The 16,480-nt window shown below is 38.3% G+C and overlaps 1 protein-coding gene across 6 annotated transcripts in view; it reads right to left on the bottom strand.

Annotated features, from left to right (window-relative positions):
* The window catches only part of LYPLAL1 (lysophospholipase like 1), a 271,619-nt gene that overhangs the window by 51,913 nt on the left and 203,226 nt on the right, over nt 1–16,480 (bottom strand). For 2 of the 6 annotated variants that reach the window (XR_007078564.1, XR_007078561.1), the window contains one exon: nt 2,470–2,632. The exons of the other annotated variants lie outside the window; for them this stretch is intronic. The gene's annotated coding sequence lies outside the window, so the exon portion shown is untranslated. The remainder of the gene's footprint in view (nt 1–2,469; nt 2,633–16,480) is intronic. 6 annotated transcript variants of the gene reach the window in all.

The following is a 16,480-nucleotide window of genomic DNA, read 5'->3' as shown; positions in this document are numbered from 1 at the left end:
ATTTATTTTTGAGAAAGCAAAGCCAGGCTAACCCTGCATCAGCCAGTCTTGTCTTAACCAAGGCATTTGGAATACTGGACACAGGTATCCTCCCCAGTGTCTTCCTACCCCCAAAGTCACCCTGGGTGTCATGTGCCTATGTGGCATCCAGGGTGGCTATGAAGGGCAGGGCATATCTGGATCCTGTGTTTACATATGAGGTACAGAGCCCAGGACAGAGGACAGAACTATGAAGATAATGCCTGGAGGATCTGACCTCTTCCAGTATGACCAGCAGATAGAGCTGGGCCAAAGACAAGGCCATTTTGGGCTTGAATCTGCCTTGCACCTGGTGGCCCAGGTACTATGGACATTGATATGTCCCCAGGCCTCTTCATGGCCATCTGTTCAGACTCCAGAATCCAGAGGCTCAAAACCAAAGACATAATCCCGCCATAAGATATGTGCAAGGCTTTAGGGGAGCCCAGTAACCAACCCTTACAGCTTTAGCTCAGAAAAATTAAGCAAGTATCAAAAATATCACAGAAGCAACAGTTTTATGACCTTAAAATATCTAGCAGAGAAAGTATAAATCTGTCTGACCAATAGACCCAAGCAAAAATACCTAAATTAAATTCTGAGGACATTCTTATTTTATTTTTCCAACAATTTAAAAACTAGCTTTATTTTTCAAAGATTATCTTAGATTATATAAAAGGTATCTGAGTTAGTTTTATTTTATTTATATAGATATTTTATCTCCAAGAAAGATCTTGGGAATATTGTTTATTATCAGAGATCAATTTTATGGAGGCTGTGGGCTCAATTTTAGCTCTGAATGTTTCCAAAGTTCATCTGGGTAAATAAAATATCTATTTCTGTTAAAACTTGATTTTATAAGGAAATACATGGATGAGGATAGAAGAAAATTAAGAAGTCTGTTTAAAATAACCAGCTGAATATCATAAAGCCTTATTTTGGAGATTAATTTTATTTAGGTGACTTTTAACATCTGTTTCTTAACTGTATTGCTGAGCTCAAGGTGGGGCTCCCATAGCTTCCAAGTACGCATACGACACCTATCAAGAGTCAGGTCATGTTTACAGCTCCAAGATTCCCTTGCCCATCATAGCTAATGACTTTTCTTACACCAAATTGCCACTTACTGTCAGTTTCTGTTAGACTCAAGCAGAAATCTGAGACTTAAAATTTTAAATATACAAACAAATGAGGAGGATGGAAGGCTGGATTTTGCCTACTGTAGTAATAACCTTTCATTGCAACCACTGTCATTTACTTTAAAATTACAGCTCTTGCCAGTGACTCATTAGTTCCTGCACATCGAGGATCAAGTGTTGGCTCACAGTATAAAGTGACTCTTGGTATCCCCAAAAGACAAAGCGATCAGGGATCTCAATGTAAAAGACAGCAGCACCTCTGACCTGAGAGGAACCTACTCACGACTCTTGGGGCTCCCTGAGGAAGACAGATGACCCCAAACAGGGGAGTCTGAGATGCTTTTTTTGTGTTTCTCAAGGGGTTTCAGTGCTGCTAGAAGGCCTCCCTAGGTACCTTTATGGGATAGCCAGAACACTGATGCTTTGTCTTAGTAATTTTATATCCAGTGACCACCAAATGAAGGAGGTAGAGGCTTGAATGGGGAACATATCAATGATTAAAGAGAACTGGATGGACAATCAAATGTGTCAAAAGGAAAGAGGTGCAGAAGTTAATAAAAGTGCAAGTCTTAGAGAAGCCAGTTTGGGGAGATCTTAAACTTCCCAAAATGCCAGTGAAGTTCTAGTTGGTAGGGGTTTGAGAAAAAAGAGTTCAATAGACTGAGGAGTTCCCAAGAGTAGAAACAAAATTCAACAGAAAGAAATAGAGTGGCTTTAAAAATATATAGCTTGAATATCAGTTCCTATTGTGCTGACTTTTTATCACAGAACTCTTAAAAAAATCTTCTCAAATCTCTCATTATCAGATTTCAGTGAGACAAAGAGAAAATAGTCCTGGCTTAATTTTTTTTTTTCAAGCTAAATGTATCTACCAATTGACTCAGAACCAAAACCAATAAGCCTCCTTTGGTTAACCAAAAATGCATGAGATGTCTCCAAAGAGGTGTGAAGACACAATCTTCTCAGAATCAAACAGCCTCCAAAGACAACTAAAAGCAAGGAAGATTTAGACAATGTCTTGAGAGATGGCAACAGTCTGTATTTTAACTTTTTATGATGGTCCCCCACAACCTTTTGCTTGGCTGTCTGCATATGCAGGCTTGACAATCTGCATGCCTGTGACAGGTGGCAAGCTGAGCCAAGTTCTCAGGTCACAAAATGAGACAAACAGGAAAACGATAGCAGTCCATGGAGGAGAAAGGATCAATAGCAAATGGGTACCCACAAATGTACACAAGAGTCACAATCCAAGCAAATAATATGCTTTTGCCAAACTGAATTTGGAAAGGAAGAAATAAAGACAAATTTTTACCTTTTATTCTTGACCAGGCACTGCAGGTAGAGGGCTGAGAAAACTGACTTCGGTAAAAGATTTTAACCTTTTGTTGTTGGCTTTTTGTCAGTTGTCCCAAGACTTTATTTGTAGGCTCTGGAATGCATCAGGTGTTTCAGTCATCCCATTCTTGTTACAAGAACTGTAGAGATTGAAAAGGGGTGATACATTTTCTCCCCATTATAAAATGAGGTGCAGAAGTTAATATAAGTGCAAGTCTTAGGCCAGTTTGGGGAGATCTTAAACTTCTCAAAATGCCAATGAAGTTGCCACCCCTATAACAAAAGACAGCTAAAAAGATAAAAAGGTAACAAATTTATTAAGGTGCATAATGCATGCAAGTCATATAAATAAATATGAAAAACTCAAGAAAAGGGCCAGATGGTTAATGCTTAAATGCCCTCTTCATTGGGAAGGGGAAATATGCAGAGATGTAAATAAATGAGCAAAAAGACCTAACAGGTTTGTAAATGATTCTCTTGATGCTGAACGGGATCAAAGGACAAACAATAGCTTGTGGACAAATTATGGAAAGGGCAAGAATAGAACTGCATTGTCGGCAAAGGTCGTCATATTATGCAGATACAATTCCCTAGCTAATCTTATGGAACTGCCCTCAGAAGAATAGATGGAAAATCTGTCTGGTTGTGATGATGACTCCCAGTCCCTTCTCTTCTCTGGTAGTTAATCTTCCTTGGTTATTTAATGAGATTTTTAGAGAGGGGATTTTAAGACAATTGCATTTCTTTTAGAAGAAGTTTTCTCTGTCTGATAAAGGAACTTCCAGAGAGAGCCCCTCCTGGTGCTCTGGAAAAGAAAAAGGATCAGAGAGATAGGAAGGCAGGGAGAGACTTTGAGGCTGCTTGTTTAGTATAGCATGTCAAAGCGCCATATTTGGAGGCTTCATTTTCTGAGCCTCAACCCCACTTCTGTCATTTACACAGTGTAGTCAGTATTTTCCTGTTTAGCTTCCAGGCTTATGGGAGACAAAATGAAGCCTAGAGACTACAAAGCATTTTGTGACACATAGAACAAGAACCAAATGTAAAAATTGTCCAATCCAATACTAATTTACTGATGAGAAAGTGGCAATTCGGGAGCATTAAGTGAATGAACTAAAATCAAATGATAAACAAGTATACAGATATTGAGGTCTTCTAATTTCTAGTTCAATAATTTTCAATCTATGCAAATCTGGCTTTCTACAGTGGAAAATATTGCTATTAATTTTATTGCAAATATTGCCTTTATCATCCATTCTTGATAATTATATATTAGGTTGGCACAAAAGTAATTGCGATTTTTGCCACTAAAAGTAATGGCAAAAACCGAAATTACTTTCACGCCAACCTAATATAACTGACTCAGAGAGACTATGGATGGCAAACATCAGTTATACATGGTAGATTACAGTTCTTCATTGGTATTAATCTAGCTAATGATGAAGTTCAGGACATGACAACCCAAAACATTCTGCTTTAGCATAAGGGTTATTCTGAGCCGATTACTTTGGCAAATAGCCAGCCCAGGAAAATCTCTGAAGACAAGAGTAAAATTTTCCCCTTTTAAGGGGCAATTTACATTTATAAAGGCAATCTTCATTTGTAAGGGTGTCTCCTTCTCTGCACCAGGAAGAGAAATATAACTTTAAATCTCCATCTACAACTCTTATCAATGGAGAAGGCACAAACTTCAGTCTGAATAACAAACTCCACCCTTGTTTAAGATGCTTTTCCTGGCCATTTCCTCATACTCAGGCCTTCCCCATACTCTTGTGTTTGCTTCAGCAAATCCAATGGAATCTTTGAAACTAGAAAAGACATGTATCAAATAAGCCACTTTATATTTATTCCAGGAAAAGTCTGACAAATGCATGTTAGTAATGACTTGAAATCTCACCTTTACATATTTCCTGCATGTCTGAATTATTAACAAAGATAGAGCCAGAATGAAAAAGAATGAATAAAATTCAATATTTTCAATCATATTCTTTCATTTGAGAATACATTTTATACCAAATGCATTTAAAATCAGATTTATGGCCTACTTAAATAGTGAAAATAATATTTTAAATGTGTAAAGAAACTCTTTCTCCTGGATAGATATGTGAAGAGAAAAATGTCAGGTGTGGAGTAGCTGTGTATTCTAGTCCACAATCCTATTAAGAAGTTGCAAACCACATAATGAGTTAAGGAAAAACTATTAAAAATTAGAGATATTTTGAATAAAGGAGTAGTCTCATCAAGTAATAATGAACATACTCCTTATTTGAGAAAAGAGAAATGTTTGTCAATACATCTCTATAAAACCTAGATTTTCCCTTAATGTTCATCAACACCTGCAGGGAAGCCAATGACATTTTGTGCTTTTTTTGTTTTTACTGATATTTATTTATTTATGATCTTATGTTCCAGAGCATTCAAGGAGACAAACGGTGTAGTAGACAACTTTTGGGGTATTTGCAGTATTCAATGCCTCACCCACAACCCACACAAACATCTTGCTGACAGAATCGAACCCTTCCAGTCACAGCTGATTGAAAGAGGTGTCCCACTAGTTTTGCCCAGTGATAGACAGTCCTCTCTCTCTTTTTAGAGTTTGGAATTGGATAAGGAATATTAGACTCTACTAGTCCTGTGAACTGAAAACACATAAACTCCAGAGCTATAATAACAACCTGTAACTTATGCGTGGAGGCAGAGGAATAAGTGTACAAGGAAACGTGAATGAAACCAAAACATGGAGAGACTTAAAATGAGAGAGAGGGAGAGAGAGAGAGATCCTGCCATTGGGATCTCTGAGAAAGTCTGTATTTTTAATAGTAATTTTCTTCCCTGATTGCATGGTCTTGCCAAGAAAACACTCTCCATATGAGGAAGCATTGAATTTTTTCACTCAACAAATATTTCCTGAATGCTTACTATGTCTAAGGCACTGTGCTATGTGCAGGGCATGAGCAAATGGACAAGGTAGACATGATATGGAGCTCATAAACTGAAAGACTGAAATTAATGGGGTAATTAGTGGAGGAGGTAAAACATTTGCTGTGGACATAATAATAACACCACCTGATCCAGCCTAGAGGTATTGGGAAAGCTTTTCATGAGGTAGTGGTGTTTAGGCTAAGGCTGATGGAGAAAAGTACAGAAATAGCAAGCATCACCTGTGTGTGAATTAGAACCGAATCTAGGTCATTTTTCAACTGTAAATACCAAATACTTCTGGGAAAGAAGCATATTAAACCATTCTGTTTCCACTCATAAATTTTCACAGGTAATTTAGACAGTTAGAAGAACAAAGAAAGAAAACCAAGAGTGGGAATGTCATTTAAAATGAAAGTGAAGAGCAACAGACATATTCCCCACCATCACATCCCAGTGATTCATGATTCTAAGCATCTGTGAATTTTTTCCAAACTCAGAATTTAAAGCAACATTTCAGGTGTTGAAGACAACCTTCGTAAAAATAATTTGACCTCAGGAGAGTTATTATCTCTATGTTGGATGAACGAAAATTATAGAAAACTGAAGCTTGCCACATGGGATACAGAGCAAGAATTAGATTTCATCTTAAGGGGAACTGGCTTCAACTTGATAAATCAGCTAATCAAAGGTCTTGGTTAAATTTTAGTTTCCTTATCAACTGAAAGCAAGGCTTTTCAGAGCACACCATCTGTGTAAACACAGCAGTTACAGGTGAGGGGAGACAGCTTCCTCTCTGGGCAAGAGTCTTTGTTTAATTTCTTTCCTTTTAATTATGGCTCAGTTAAAGGACATGTACATATAAAATTTTTCTACCTACATTTTATTTTAACAAAAATGAGACTTATAGCTTTAAAATGCAATATGAACATTAATAATTAGGTAGGTAAGTGTAGTCAGAGAGCATGCCAGGCAGGAGCAGCTGAATGAAGACCCCAAGGCAGGAAAGAATGTAAAATGTTATATTTGGACAGAGGAGCATGTGGGGGAGAAGGGGAAGAGAGACTGGAGAGATAAGCAGTGTCCAGATTATGCAGGATTTTGAGACCATAAAAAGAATATGGAAATTTATCATAACAGTCATCAAAGATTTAAAGCAGAGAAATGGTATGATCAGGTCTGCATTGTTAAAATAGTGGATTAGGGGATAGATACAGGAATATTTGTTAGAAAGTGATAGCACTGGTTTGTATGGCTTGGGTTAGGCTAGTGATGATGGTTAAAATAGATAGAGGGAATAAATTTGAAAGCAATATCAGAGGTGGAATTTATTGACTTGATGATTATGCGTCCCAAGAAGGAGGAAAATTCAAAAAGATGGTCGTGTTTGTAGGTTGTCATTTGCTTTGATTAGAAACACAAGAAAGGGGGCAGATTTGGGTTAAGTTCACTTCTGTTTCTATTGAGCTTGAAGCTCTTATGAGACATCTAAAAGGAAGAGTCTAAGAAAGAAGATCTGGGTACAATTTTTAATTTAACATTTATTAGTATATATCCTTGAGATGTCTTAAGATTGTACAAAGTCAGAAGAGAAGAGGCCTCAAGTTGATCCAAGGTTTAAAGGTCCAGTATAGGGGGAAATTAACAAAGGAGACTAAAAAGCAACAACCAGGAAAGAGAAGAGAGCCACTGGGAGAACTCTGGCTATATGGCCACACATTTCTAAATAATTCCTGGCAACTTAGGAGGAATCTCCAATTCCTCTTCAAATTTCAGGGAAATATATTGGTTATGATAAATCAGCCATCAGTCAGTCATACAGCTAGTTTTCTGACGGAATAGTGTTAGAATAATGGTTCACTTTCTCTTAATGCAGAACCCTCTCTTCTCTACAGTAATCCAAAGGCCATTGTTTACTGGTTCTACCCAAAGATTTGTCAGAATGTCAAGGAAAGGGTGTAACACTCTGGAAGAATAGAAATGTTAAATGGCAACTGGCAGAGGAGGTAGGCTTCCCATTTTACATTTGAGCTAGAGAAATACACCCAGAAAGCTCTGCCGTCTCCCCTCTGTTGCCCAGTGGTAATGTGAGATGACTGAATTTTTCACCTTTCCAGGCAAAGCTCCGGACATTGCATGCTTGGAGTCCCCCATCCACTAGAGGGCTCTCACCACACAGGTGATAGTTTGGAGGTCTCAGGGCCTACAACAATGTGTTTCAAAGGCTATCTGTGAAACTAGTGTAATTTTGTACAGTTCAGTCATACAATAGAGTTAGTGTTAGAAACACTGACTGAGAAAAAAAATAGATGAAGCAATTATATTTCTCTCTGCTTGGAAGTCTTTTCCCAACTGTATGTAATTTATACAGGTTGGCAACCTACAAAATTCTTTGTTAGCAAATTACAGCGTGCAATTACATCTTAACTCTGTTTATCTTTATTTCTTTACCCTCTTGTTCCTTCAAATAATTTCATCCTTTCCCCCTTCTTTTTAAAGCTTGCAAAGAGAAAAAAGAAATTAAACTAATGCAGAATATGGGAAGCTTTCCTCTTTATTGCCCTTCCCCTTGCCCTACTGGTCTACCCCAAACACTTTTTTCTACAAGCTTCTTAACAAATATAGACATAATATAAAATTATTTTTAGAGTCCAAAATGAGGACTCGTGCTATAACAGTGGAACACTGCTTTAAAAGTGACATATATTATCACATATATTGTGCTCAAATACCTCAAGGATAGGCCAACTATTTCTAAATGCATTAGATTTTGAACCCATCTGTTGCAAACTTTTGAACAATTTTTTGAGTGGCTTTGGGATTCAGACTAAGGTATTGGGCTGGAGGAACTGCAAGAAGCAGCCCTGGAGTTTAGCCTTCCACTCTATCTCAGAACTGAACCTATTGGAATCATGCCATGGTATTCCTGGGTATAGAAGTTCGATTCTGGCAGAGTTTTTTTCTTTGCCCAATGGAAGGTGTATTCTCCAGGCATAGAGTGCTTTCTTTTCAAAATGAGTTGATTCTGCCTTGTATCTAAAATGTTTAAAATCCCCAGCAGATCTCTGGAGGGCATATTTACAGCCAACTTATAGGTTTACTGACCTCCCCCACCACCACCTGCAGAACATTACTGGGAGAAAAAGCCCACCAATAGTCAAGTCATATAGTCTGGACGATCCAAGATCCGTAGAGTCTTATTTGGACCTGTTGTACAACCAAAAGTATGTGGGAGTAGAGAATTACTACGCAGTCTCTTTCCTCATTTGTTGGCAATGAAACAGAATCACAGTAATTATATCAGAATGCTCTGTAGTCTCTGGATGAGCTATATATATTTCTGTTTGATGAATTTCTCCTTATTTTATCAATGCCAGGTTATTTAGGAATGCTGCTTCTGTATATGTCATTTCCATACATATTTTATGACAATAAAACAGATCAAACAATACAAATAAATTCGACTGATTTGTGTTTATTAAACTCCTTACAACATGTGGTATTATACTATACTTGACAGCACTTTAAATATTCAGAAAATGTGTTTCATGTACTTTTTTTGATCAAAGATCATAATCAGACATCCGACCTAATTTGTGGATTTTATTCTATACATTTTAATTCAATCAATTGACATTACCTTTGATCTGAGATGATTCTACACTAAACAAGAATATATAAACAGAGGGATCAAATATCTTCACCTAAAAACCACTGCTGGAATGCCTCCCAAATGCTTCTTGATTGCCAACAGAGGTATCATTCAAATGTAGTTTGAGGGACATGATGGAGAAGAGCATTTGCTATAATTGAAACTGCAAGTGGTTATTCTTTGTTAATTACAGTGCAAATACAGAATTTTAAAAACTGGCAAGAGTATCACCTCTCAACAGTTTCCTTTACCCATTAGAAGCTTTGCCATTAGGATAATGGGTGTCTAAGGAAGATTTTTCTATTTTGCCCTATCTGTTTTACTGCTCTTCCTTTTCCCATAAATGAATCACAAGAATTTGGAATCACTGGTAAAGATGAAAATGGATGTTCGCATTTCTAACTTTGACCTCACTTCTTCACAGAGTTTTGTTCATTTTCAAGTGAAACTTGTCTTATAAGACATATGGGCTGTGAAGGAGAGGAAAACAGTAGGGAAGGAGAGGGGAAGGTTGGCTGGGAAGAGGAGGGGAGTGGTGAGATACCATCCCAAGAAGCCTTTTTACTTGAAGAAAATGCTATAGCCCTAACAGAAAATGAACTATATGTAAACAGAAATGACATCATAAATCACTTCTCTTTTCAGTAACGTCCAAAGCTGCAAGGTCTGTCTGCCTCTATCTATTCTAAATCAAGCTCACGTTGAATATTCCACTTGCTTTCTCTGCCAAAGAGAGAGAATCTCACGATAAATACACACTGATTTGGTCAGTGGAATATATGCTACTATGAAAGTTGAGACAGTTTGAGCAGTAATGAACTCTGGAGTTATGCCATTTATAGTTCTTTGTGTTTTTATTAAATATTATGCATGGGTTCTTGTATTTGTTTCAATATAATGTTATGGTGAACTACTGACTGAATGTATCTGTTTGCCATGTGGGTTATAGGCATCTGTTGAATATTAGGGAATGTAATTCAAGTGATTTGCCAAGAGCTCCATCAGAGATGTGGCCTGTGCATATTTCTGAGTTGAGAACACCACCTGAAGTATATTGACCTGTGGTAGTGCAGTGATACATCTGAGCCAGGAAGCACAATGACCAGCCCAATTAGTTAAAGTGTCATAAATATGCCACTACATTTCTCATTTATCACAAGTCCAATACAATTTCTTATATTTCACTTTCAAAGCTTTGAAATATCAACTCAAACTATCTGTGGATTTGGTGCTTTTCATATCTTAGGACCAAAGGGACTGACTTGAGTTTTGAGTAGAATATAAAGTGAAGAAGTAAATGTTCTTAGGACAAGTGAATATGCTTTAGTGGGAATGATCTGTAATTCAAGACTTTCCTAGACTAGAAAACAATAGTATGATAGTCTGGAAATTGACATGAGGTCTACATGGAACCACGTAGTGAGCAGCTATTGTTGTTTTGTTGTTGGTTTTTGACTTCATGAACAGTCCAGATCACTTTTCTAGACACATAATTTAAGAAATCTACATATAATTTGTTGATTTCATGTTTTTATAATACTATCAGATAGATGCAACTATTAACTGATCCGGACAGAAAAAATATTGCACCGAGTAGGTGGGCATTTTTATGCCATCTTTGTTTGGAGTTGGCCATATTTTTTGAAAAAAAAAACAAAACAAAACTTTTTTTAATGTAAATGTTTTCTATTTCTCTGATTTGTAGCTGGGCGTAAATACAAGTTATAAAAATCATGTTTTAAAAATGAAATTTAATTTTTATGTGGTTTTCTGCCTGGGTGGTTTATTTAAGCATTATGTGGAATGAGATGGTGGGTAGTTTTAAAGTATAAGGGTATTTAAAAATATGTGGCAACTTGGGCTGGGTGCAGTGGCTCATGCCTGTAATTCCAGCACTTTGGGAGGCCAAGGCTGGTGGATCACGAGGTCAGGAGATCGAGACCGTCCTGGCTAACACGGTGAAACCCTGTCTCTACTGAAAATCCAAAAAAAGGTTAGCCGGGCGCAGTGGTGGGCGCCTGTAGTCCCAGCTACTCAGGAGGCTGAGGCAGGAGAATGACGTGACCCCGGGAGGTGGAGCTTGCAGTGAGCCAAGATTGCGCCACTGCATTCCAGCCTGGGTGACAGAGCAAGACCCTATCTCAAAAAACAAACAAACAACAAAAAAAGTGGCAACTTGGAATGCAGTTTGCAATGAGGAAAAGCTTTTCTTCACCATGAGTCTAGCTTTCCCTGCCATGAAGAGTGGCCACAGATTGAGACTTTCCAGTTCTTTCCTGACTCTGTAGAACTTTGTATTCATTTTGAAGGAAACACTGAGATGTAGAGTCAGATTCTTCATCCAGAGAGGGCAACCTTATACAAAATTGTGAAGTGGACTTCATATACTCAGACTGCTTTCCTCCCTGACTGTGTCTCTTTTTTGCACCAACACACCCTGGACAATAGGCACCTCATGTGCCAGTAAGGTATTCTTGTCAGAAAGGAAAGATCATCTAAACATCCATTCCTAGCTAAGCCAGTGCAGGCTAGATCTGTTTACCTTTTCCTAGCAGAGAAGAAAGGAGTGGGGAGCTGCCTAGAAGAGGGCAATCCATACAGATCCATACAGACCATGTGATTTCCTGTACCATAGCTCGTATTGTACTGTGTTGTCTTTTCCCTGATGAACTGTGGCCTCTTCATGTGTTGAATCCATGACTTAATCTTTTTTGTATCTTTAGTATCAGCACATGATCAAGATTAAAGTGGGACTCCATTAGTATTTGAATGAATGAATGAATGAATGATGCATAATATTAATTTCAGATATAAATCTTCTTAGTCCTTCTCAAATGCCTTTAAAAGGGCACTCTCCTATTTTGTGTTCTGCATGCAACCCTCCCTGTCATTCCAATGTGAGGACTCAGCAGAATCCATATCACTAAGCCACCTATGGCCCACTCTATTTTCCTGGCCCAGGGAAAGAATGTGTCAGGAATGTGAAGAAACTATTTTCTATTTTGTCCCCACTAAGAGCGTATATATGAGTTTTCTCTTGGATAGAAAATAGAGACCTTATGTGAGTCTACATGACAGCCAAGAAATTGTTGTGAAGAAAATGGGCTGATTGGGCTTGTGTTAGTCCATTCTCATGTTGCTAATAAAGACCTACTTGAGACTGGGTAATTTATAAAGGAAGAAGGTTGAATGGACTCACAGTTTCGCACAGCTGGGGAGGGCTCACAATCATGGCAAAAGATGGAGGAAGAGGAAAGGGACTTCTTACATGGCAGCAGGCAAGAGAGCATGTGCAGGAGTGCCCCCTTTATAAAACCATCGGATCTCATGAGACTTATTCACTATCACAGGAACAGCATGCGAAAACCCACCCCATGATTCATTTACCTCCCACCCGGTCCCTCTCATGATGCGTGGGAATTATGGGAGCTACAATTCAAGATGAGATTTGGGTGGGGACACAGCTAAACCATATCAGAGCTGATGCTGGGTTCTCATGTCTTCATCTTCTACAGTTTATTACTTTTGTTTCCTCTTTGATCTGACATTTGTTTCTTGTCATACAGAGCAAGGGTTGGCAAACTATGGCCCCTGGGTCAAATTCAGCCTGGTGCCTGTTTTTGCATAAATACAATTTTATTAGAACACAGCCTCTCCCATTTGTTTTCTCACTAGGACCAACAGGGCCGAGTATTTGTGACAGACACCCCATATGCTCACAAAGAGTAAGATATTTACTTTATGGTCTTTTATATAAAAAGTTTGCCAACTCCTGAAATATAGCAAATACGGTATCAAGATATTTATATTGCCTTTTGACTTCTTTAACCAGATCAAGGAAGATTTCAGACCATTGTGCAATGCTCAGACAGCCCATGATCAAATCCTAGTTTCACCTTCGAGGCAAGTTACAGCGGCATCTGTGGAAATACCTGCTTAGACCTTCTCCAAGAAAACCTGCCACAAGGGCATAGTTGGCTGACAGCTTCGAATCCAGCACCAGGCTGGTGTCAAGATCACACTTCCCTTGGGATGCTCCCAGCAATGACTGTACATGACAAGACTAATGGTGCCAACACAGCCCTCCCTCCCCAGGACTCTTCCAATGAGCATGTTTGTTTGGGGACTCCCATTGGCTTGTGTAAAGCTACGCCAACTGTGCCGTGGTCTGGGGCTGTTTCTATTCATCCTTCCTTCCCTCTCTCCTTTTACAGCGTCCCACCCACACCATGGTCTGAAGATTCTCCCTGACGACTCCTGCTCCCTTTCTTTTAGTTTTCACAGGCATTTATTCGATAAATCTCTTGCAGTTCTAAGCCTGTTTCAGATTCTTCTCCTCACAAGACCCCAACTGACACATTATTTAACTCCTCTGGGCTTTAATTTCCTCCTTATAAAAGGATGCTAAAGATGATAACTATATCATAGAGTTTCTGTAAGGATGAAGTAAGTATGGTAGACAATATTTTTGGCATTGTTTGGTACAGTTCGTGGTGTCCATCCACATATACCCTTTACTGCCATGGCCTTTGGGATGGCCCCCAGCCAGTTCCTGCCTTTTGGGCCTCCTTCCTGCCTCTTCTTCACCACATTATGACTGCTCACTGAACCTTGTGCCCGTGGGCATGTTTTCTTCTCCTTTAAGCTTCTTTAAAAATTAACAATAGGTCTTTTCAGTGAGTGATTACAGCAACAGCATCCTGAAAGAACTGACATGTATGAAATAATTTCTTACTTGTATAGCATGCACTTCCATTAAGGTAGTCTCAAACAATTATCTGTCCAAATGAATAATAAAATGGAATGTAAAGGGACTTCTCATCCCACTCACCATTATTAATATTATTATTTTTTCTTTCTAAGACATAGAAATCACTGCATAGAGGGCAAAATAATTTAGGTCCAAAAATGCAGTCCTGTCCTGGAACTCCTGAGAATGACTTTGATGAGACATTTCCTGAGACCCAACAGAGACCCTCCTGAGCCTATCATGAATGTCCTTAAGCTTGTCATTTCAAAGTAGTAAAAACTCTATGCCCCCTTTAGAGCTAACTGCAGCAAAAACTGCTTGAAGTCTTGCCAAAAAGTGATTGAATAACTTAAGCAAGTGAAGAGACAGTTTGCTTCTCCCACACTGGGACAATGTACATCTGGTCTGAGGTGGCAGAAGCAGTGCTGTTCCAGGAGTTCTGCTTCCACCTTTCCCTCCTCGACCCCAAGGATGAAAGATTATTCTTGGGTTATGCCTTTGTATCCTACATTTTGCCTAAGGCTACTCAGCAACCAAGTTGGAGCAATGACATTGCTGATGGTTGGTCAAAAGTTTGAAAAATAGTGAATTAGAGGTTAACAGAAGTCACCAAAATCCCCTTAGGACATTTGTTGCAGACATACTTATGATTTACTGGCAAATATTACGGTTAAACTTAAAGTATAGGACAAACATACATAATATATATATAGAGAGAAATGTTAAAATGAAATATATTCTATGTTGCTAGTTGGCCTCCAAGCAAAAATTGAAATAGTATGAATTATGAATTTGTGTTTTCCTTTAACAGATCAGCATTTAATGGTGAACAAGCTCTCCCCCTTGGTAAAGTGATTACTGGGCATTGGCTTGTCAAAACTACTTACTGCATGAGTTCAGAACTCAAAAGCTCTATTAAAGTTCCAATTAAAAATATATTGTCTATTGTCTATCTTTACTCTCCTCCACCTCCCCTCAGCCTTTATAACCCTTTGGGTCTCTGCTGACCAAAAGGCCCTTGTGTATATTCTTAAATATTCATGCTAAAGCACTCCATGTCTCATTATGCCCTCAGTGATTTCCAAGAGCAGCAGTGGGCTTCATCATTTAGCCTCTGGGTCTCTGAGTATGTAGCTTCCTCGGATGGAGAACCTTCTCTCCACCTCCCCTGACCCCCATTTTCTTTTTACTCCCATCCCTACTCACCTCCACTACCTTTGCTTGAATAACAATTTTTAATTTCCTTGCTGATATGGTTTGGCTGTGTCCTCACCCAAATCTCATCTTGAATTGTAGTTCCCATAATCCCCATGTGTCGTGGGAGGTAATTTAATCATGGGGATGGTTATCCTTATGGTGTTCTCATGATGGTGAGTGAGTTCTAATGAGATCTGATGGTTTTATAAGGGGCTTTTCCCCTTTTGCTCACTCTTCTCCTTGATGCCACCATGTGAAGAAAGATGTGTTTGCTTCCCCTTCTGCCATGACTGTAGCTTTTCTGAGGCTTCCCCAGCCATGCTCAACTGTGAGTCAATTAAACCTTTTCCCTTTATGAATTCCCCTGTCTCAGGTATGTCTTTATGAGCAGCGTGAGAACAGACTAATACACTTGTCCTTCCTGACTTCATCCAGCTAACACTTTTCTTGAGAACTGTTTTGGACCCTTTTTGCATGAAGCAGAGATCTCATTTGGTCTACACCAGAGGTCAGCAACCTATGGCCAAATCCTCCTCACCATCTGTTTTTGAAAGTGAAGTTTTATTGGAACATAGACATCCCCATTAGTTTATGTATTGCCTATTTCTGCTTTGTTGCTACAGTTGCAGAATTGAATTAGTTCAGACAGAGACCACATGGCAAAGCCACAATATTTACTCTCTGGCCCTTTATAGAAAATGTTTGGCTATCTGTGGCCTACACCTTTAGGAAGCTGGGTGTCTTTGAGTTTGGAACTTCATATGAAAAATTACGAATTTGTGATAGAGAACAAGATGTAAGAGTCGGGTCATTAAAATTTTAACTTTGCAGTTTCTTTAAATAAAAAGAAAAATTATTACTTAAATAATGTAATTTATAATAATTTGATTTACAATAAATATTTTAGATAAGTATCCATTATATAGAATCAGCCAAATACTAATTAAAGAAGAGGCAATCTCCAGCTTTTATTTCTACAGGTGAGTCCTTTTGTAAAAAAATAAACTAAAGGTATGTGGGGGCATTTAAAAATTGTTCAAGTATACTTTTTTACTGTGACAAAATATAAATAATGTAACATAAAATTGACCATTTTAACAATTTTTAAGTATCTAGTTCAGTGACATTAAATACATTCACATTGTTGTGCAAGCATCACCACCATCCAACTCCAGAAGATTTTTATCTTCTCAAACTGAAACTCTATACCCATTAAACACTAACTCCCCATTCCTCACTCTCTCTAGTCCCTAGAAACAGCCATTCTTGTCTCTGGCTTCAAGAATTTGAGTACTCTAGATACTTTGTATAAGTGAAACCATACAGTATTTGTCCTTTTGTAACTGGCTTATTTTACTTAGCATAATAATGTCTTCATCATTTACCCATATTGTATTATGTGTCAGAATTTCTTTTGGATGAAGGCTGAATAATATCATATTATATTTATATACCACATTGTGTTTGCCC

This window comes from Homo sapiens, chromosome 1 (genome assembly GCF_000001405.40).
Source record: "Homo sapiens chromosome 1, GRCh38.p14 Primary Assembly".
NCBI classification, from domain to species: Eukaryota; Metazoa; Chordata; class Mammalia; order Primates; family Hominidae; genus Homo; species Homo sapiens.
Note: the sequence above shows the minus strand (reverse complement) of the source record. Positions and strands in the feature narration are given on the sequence as shown.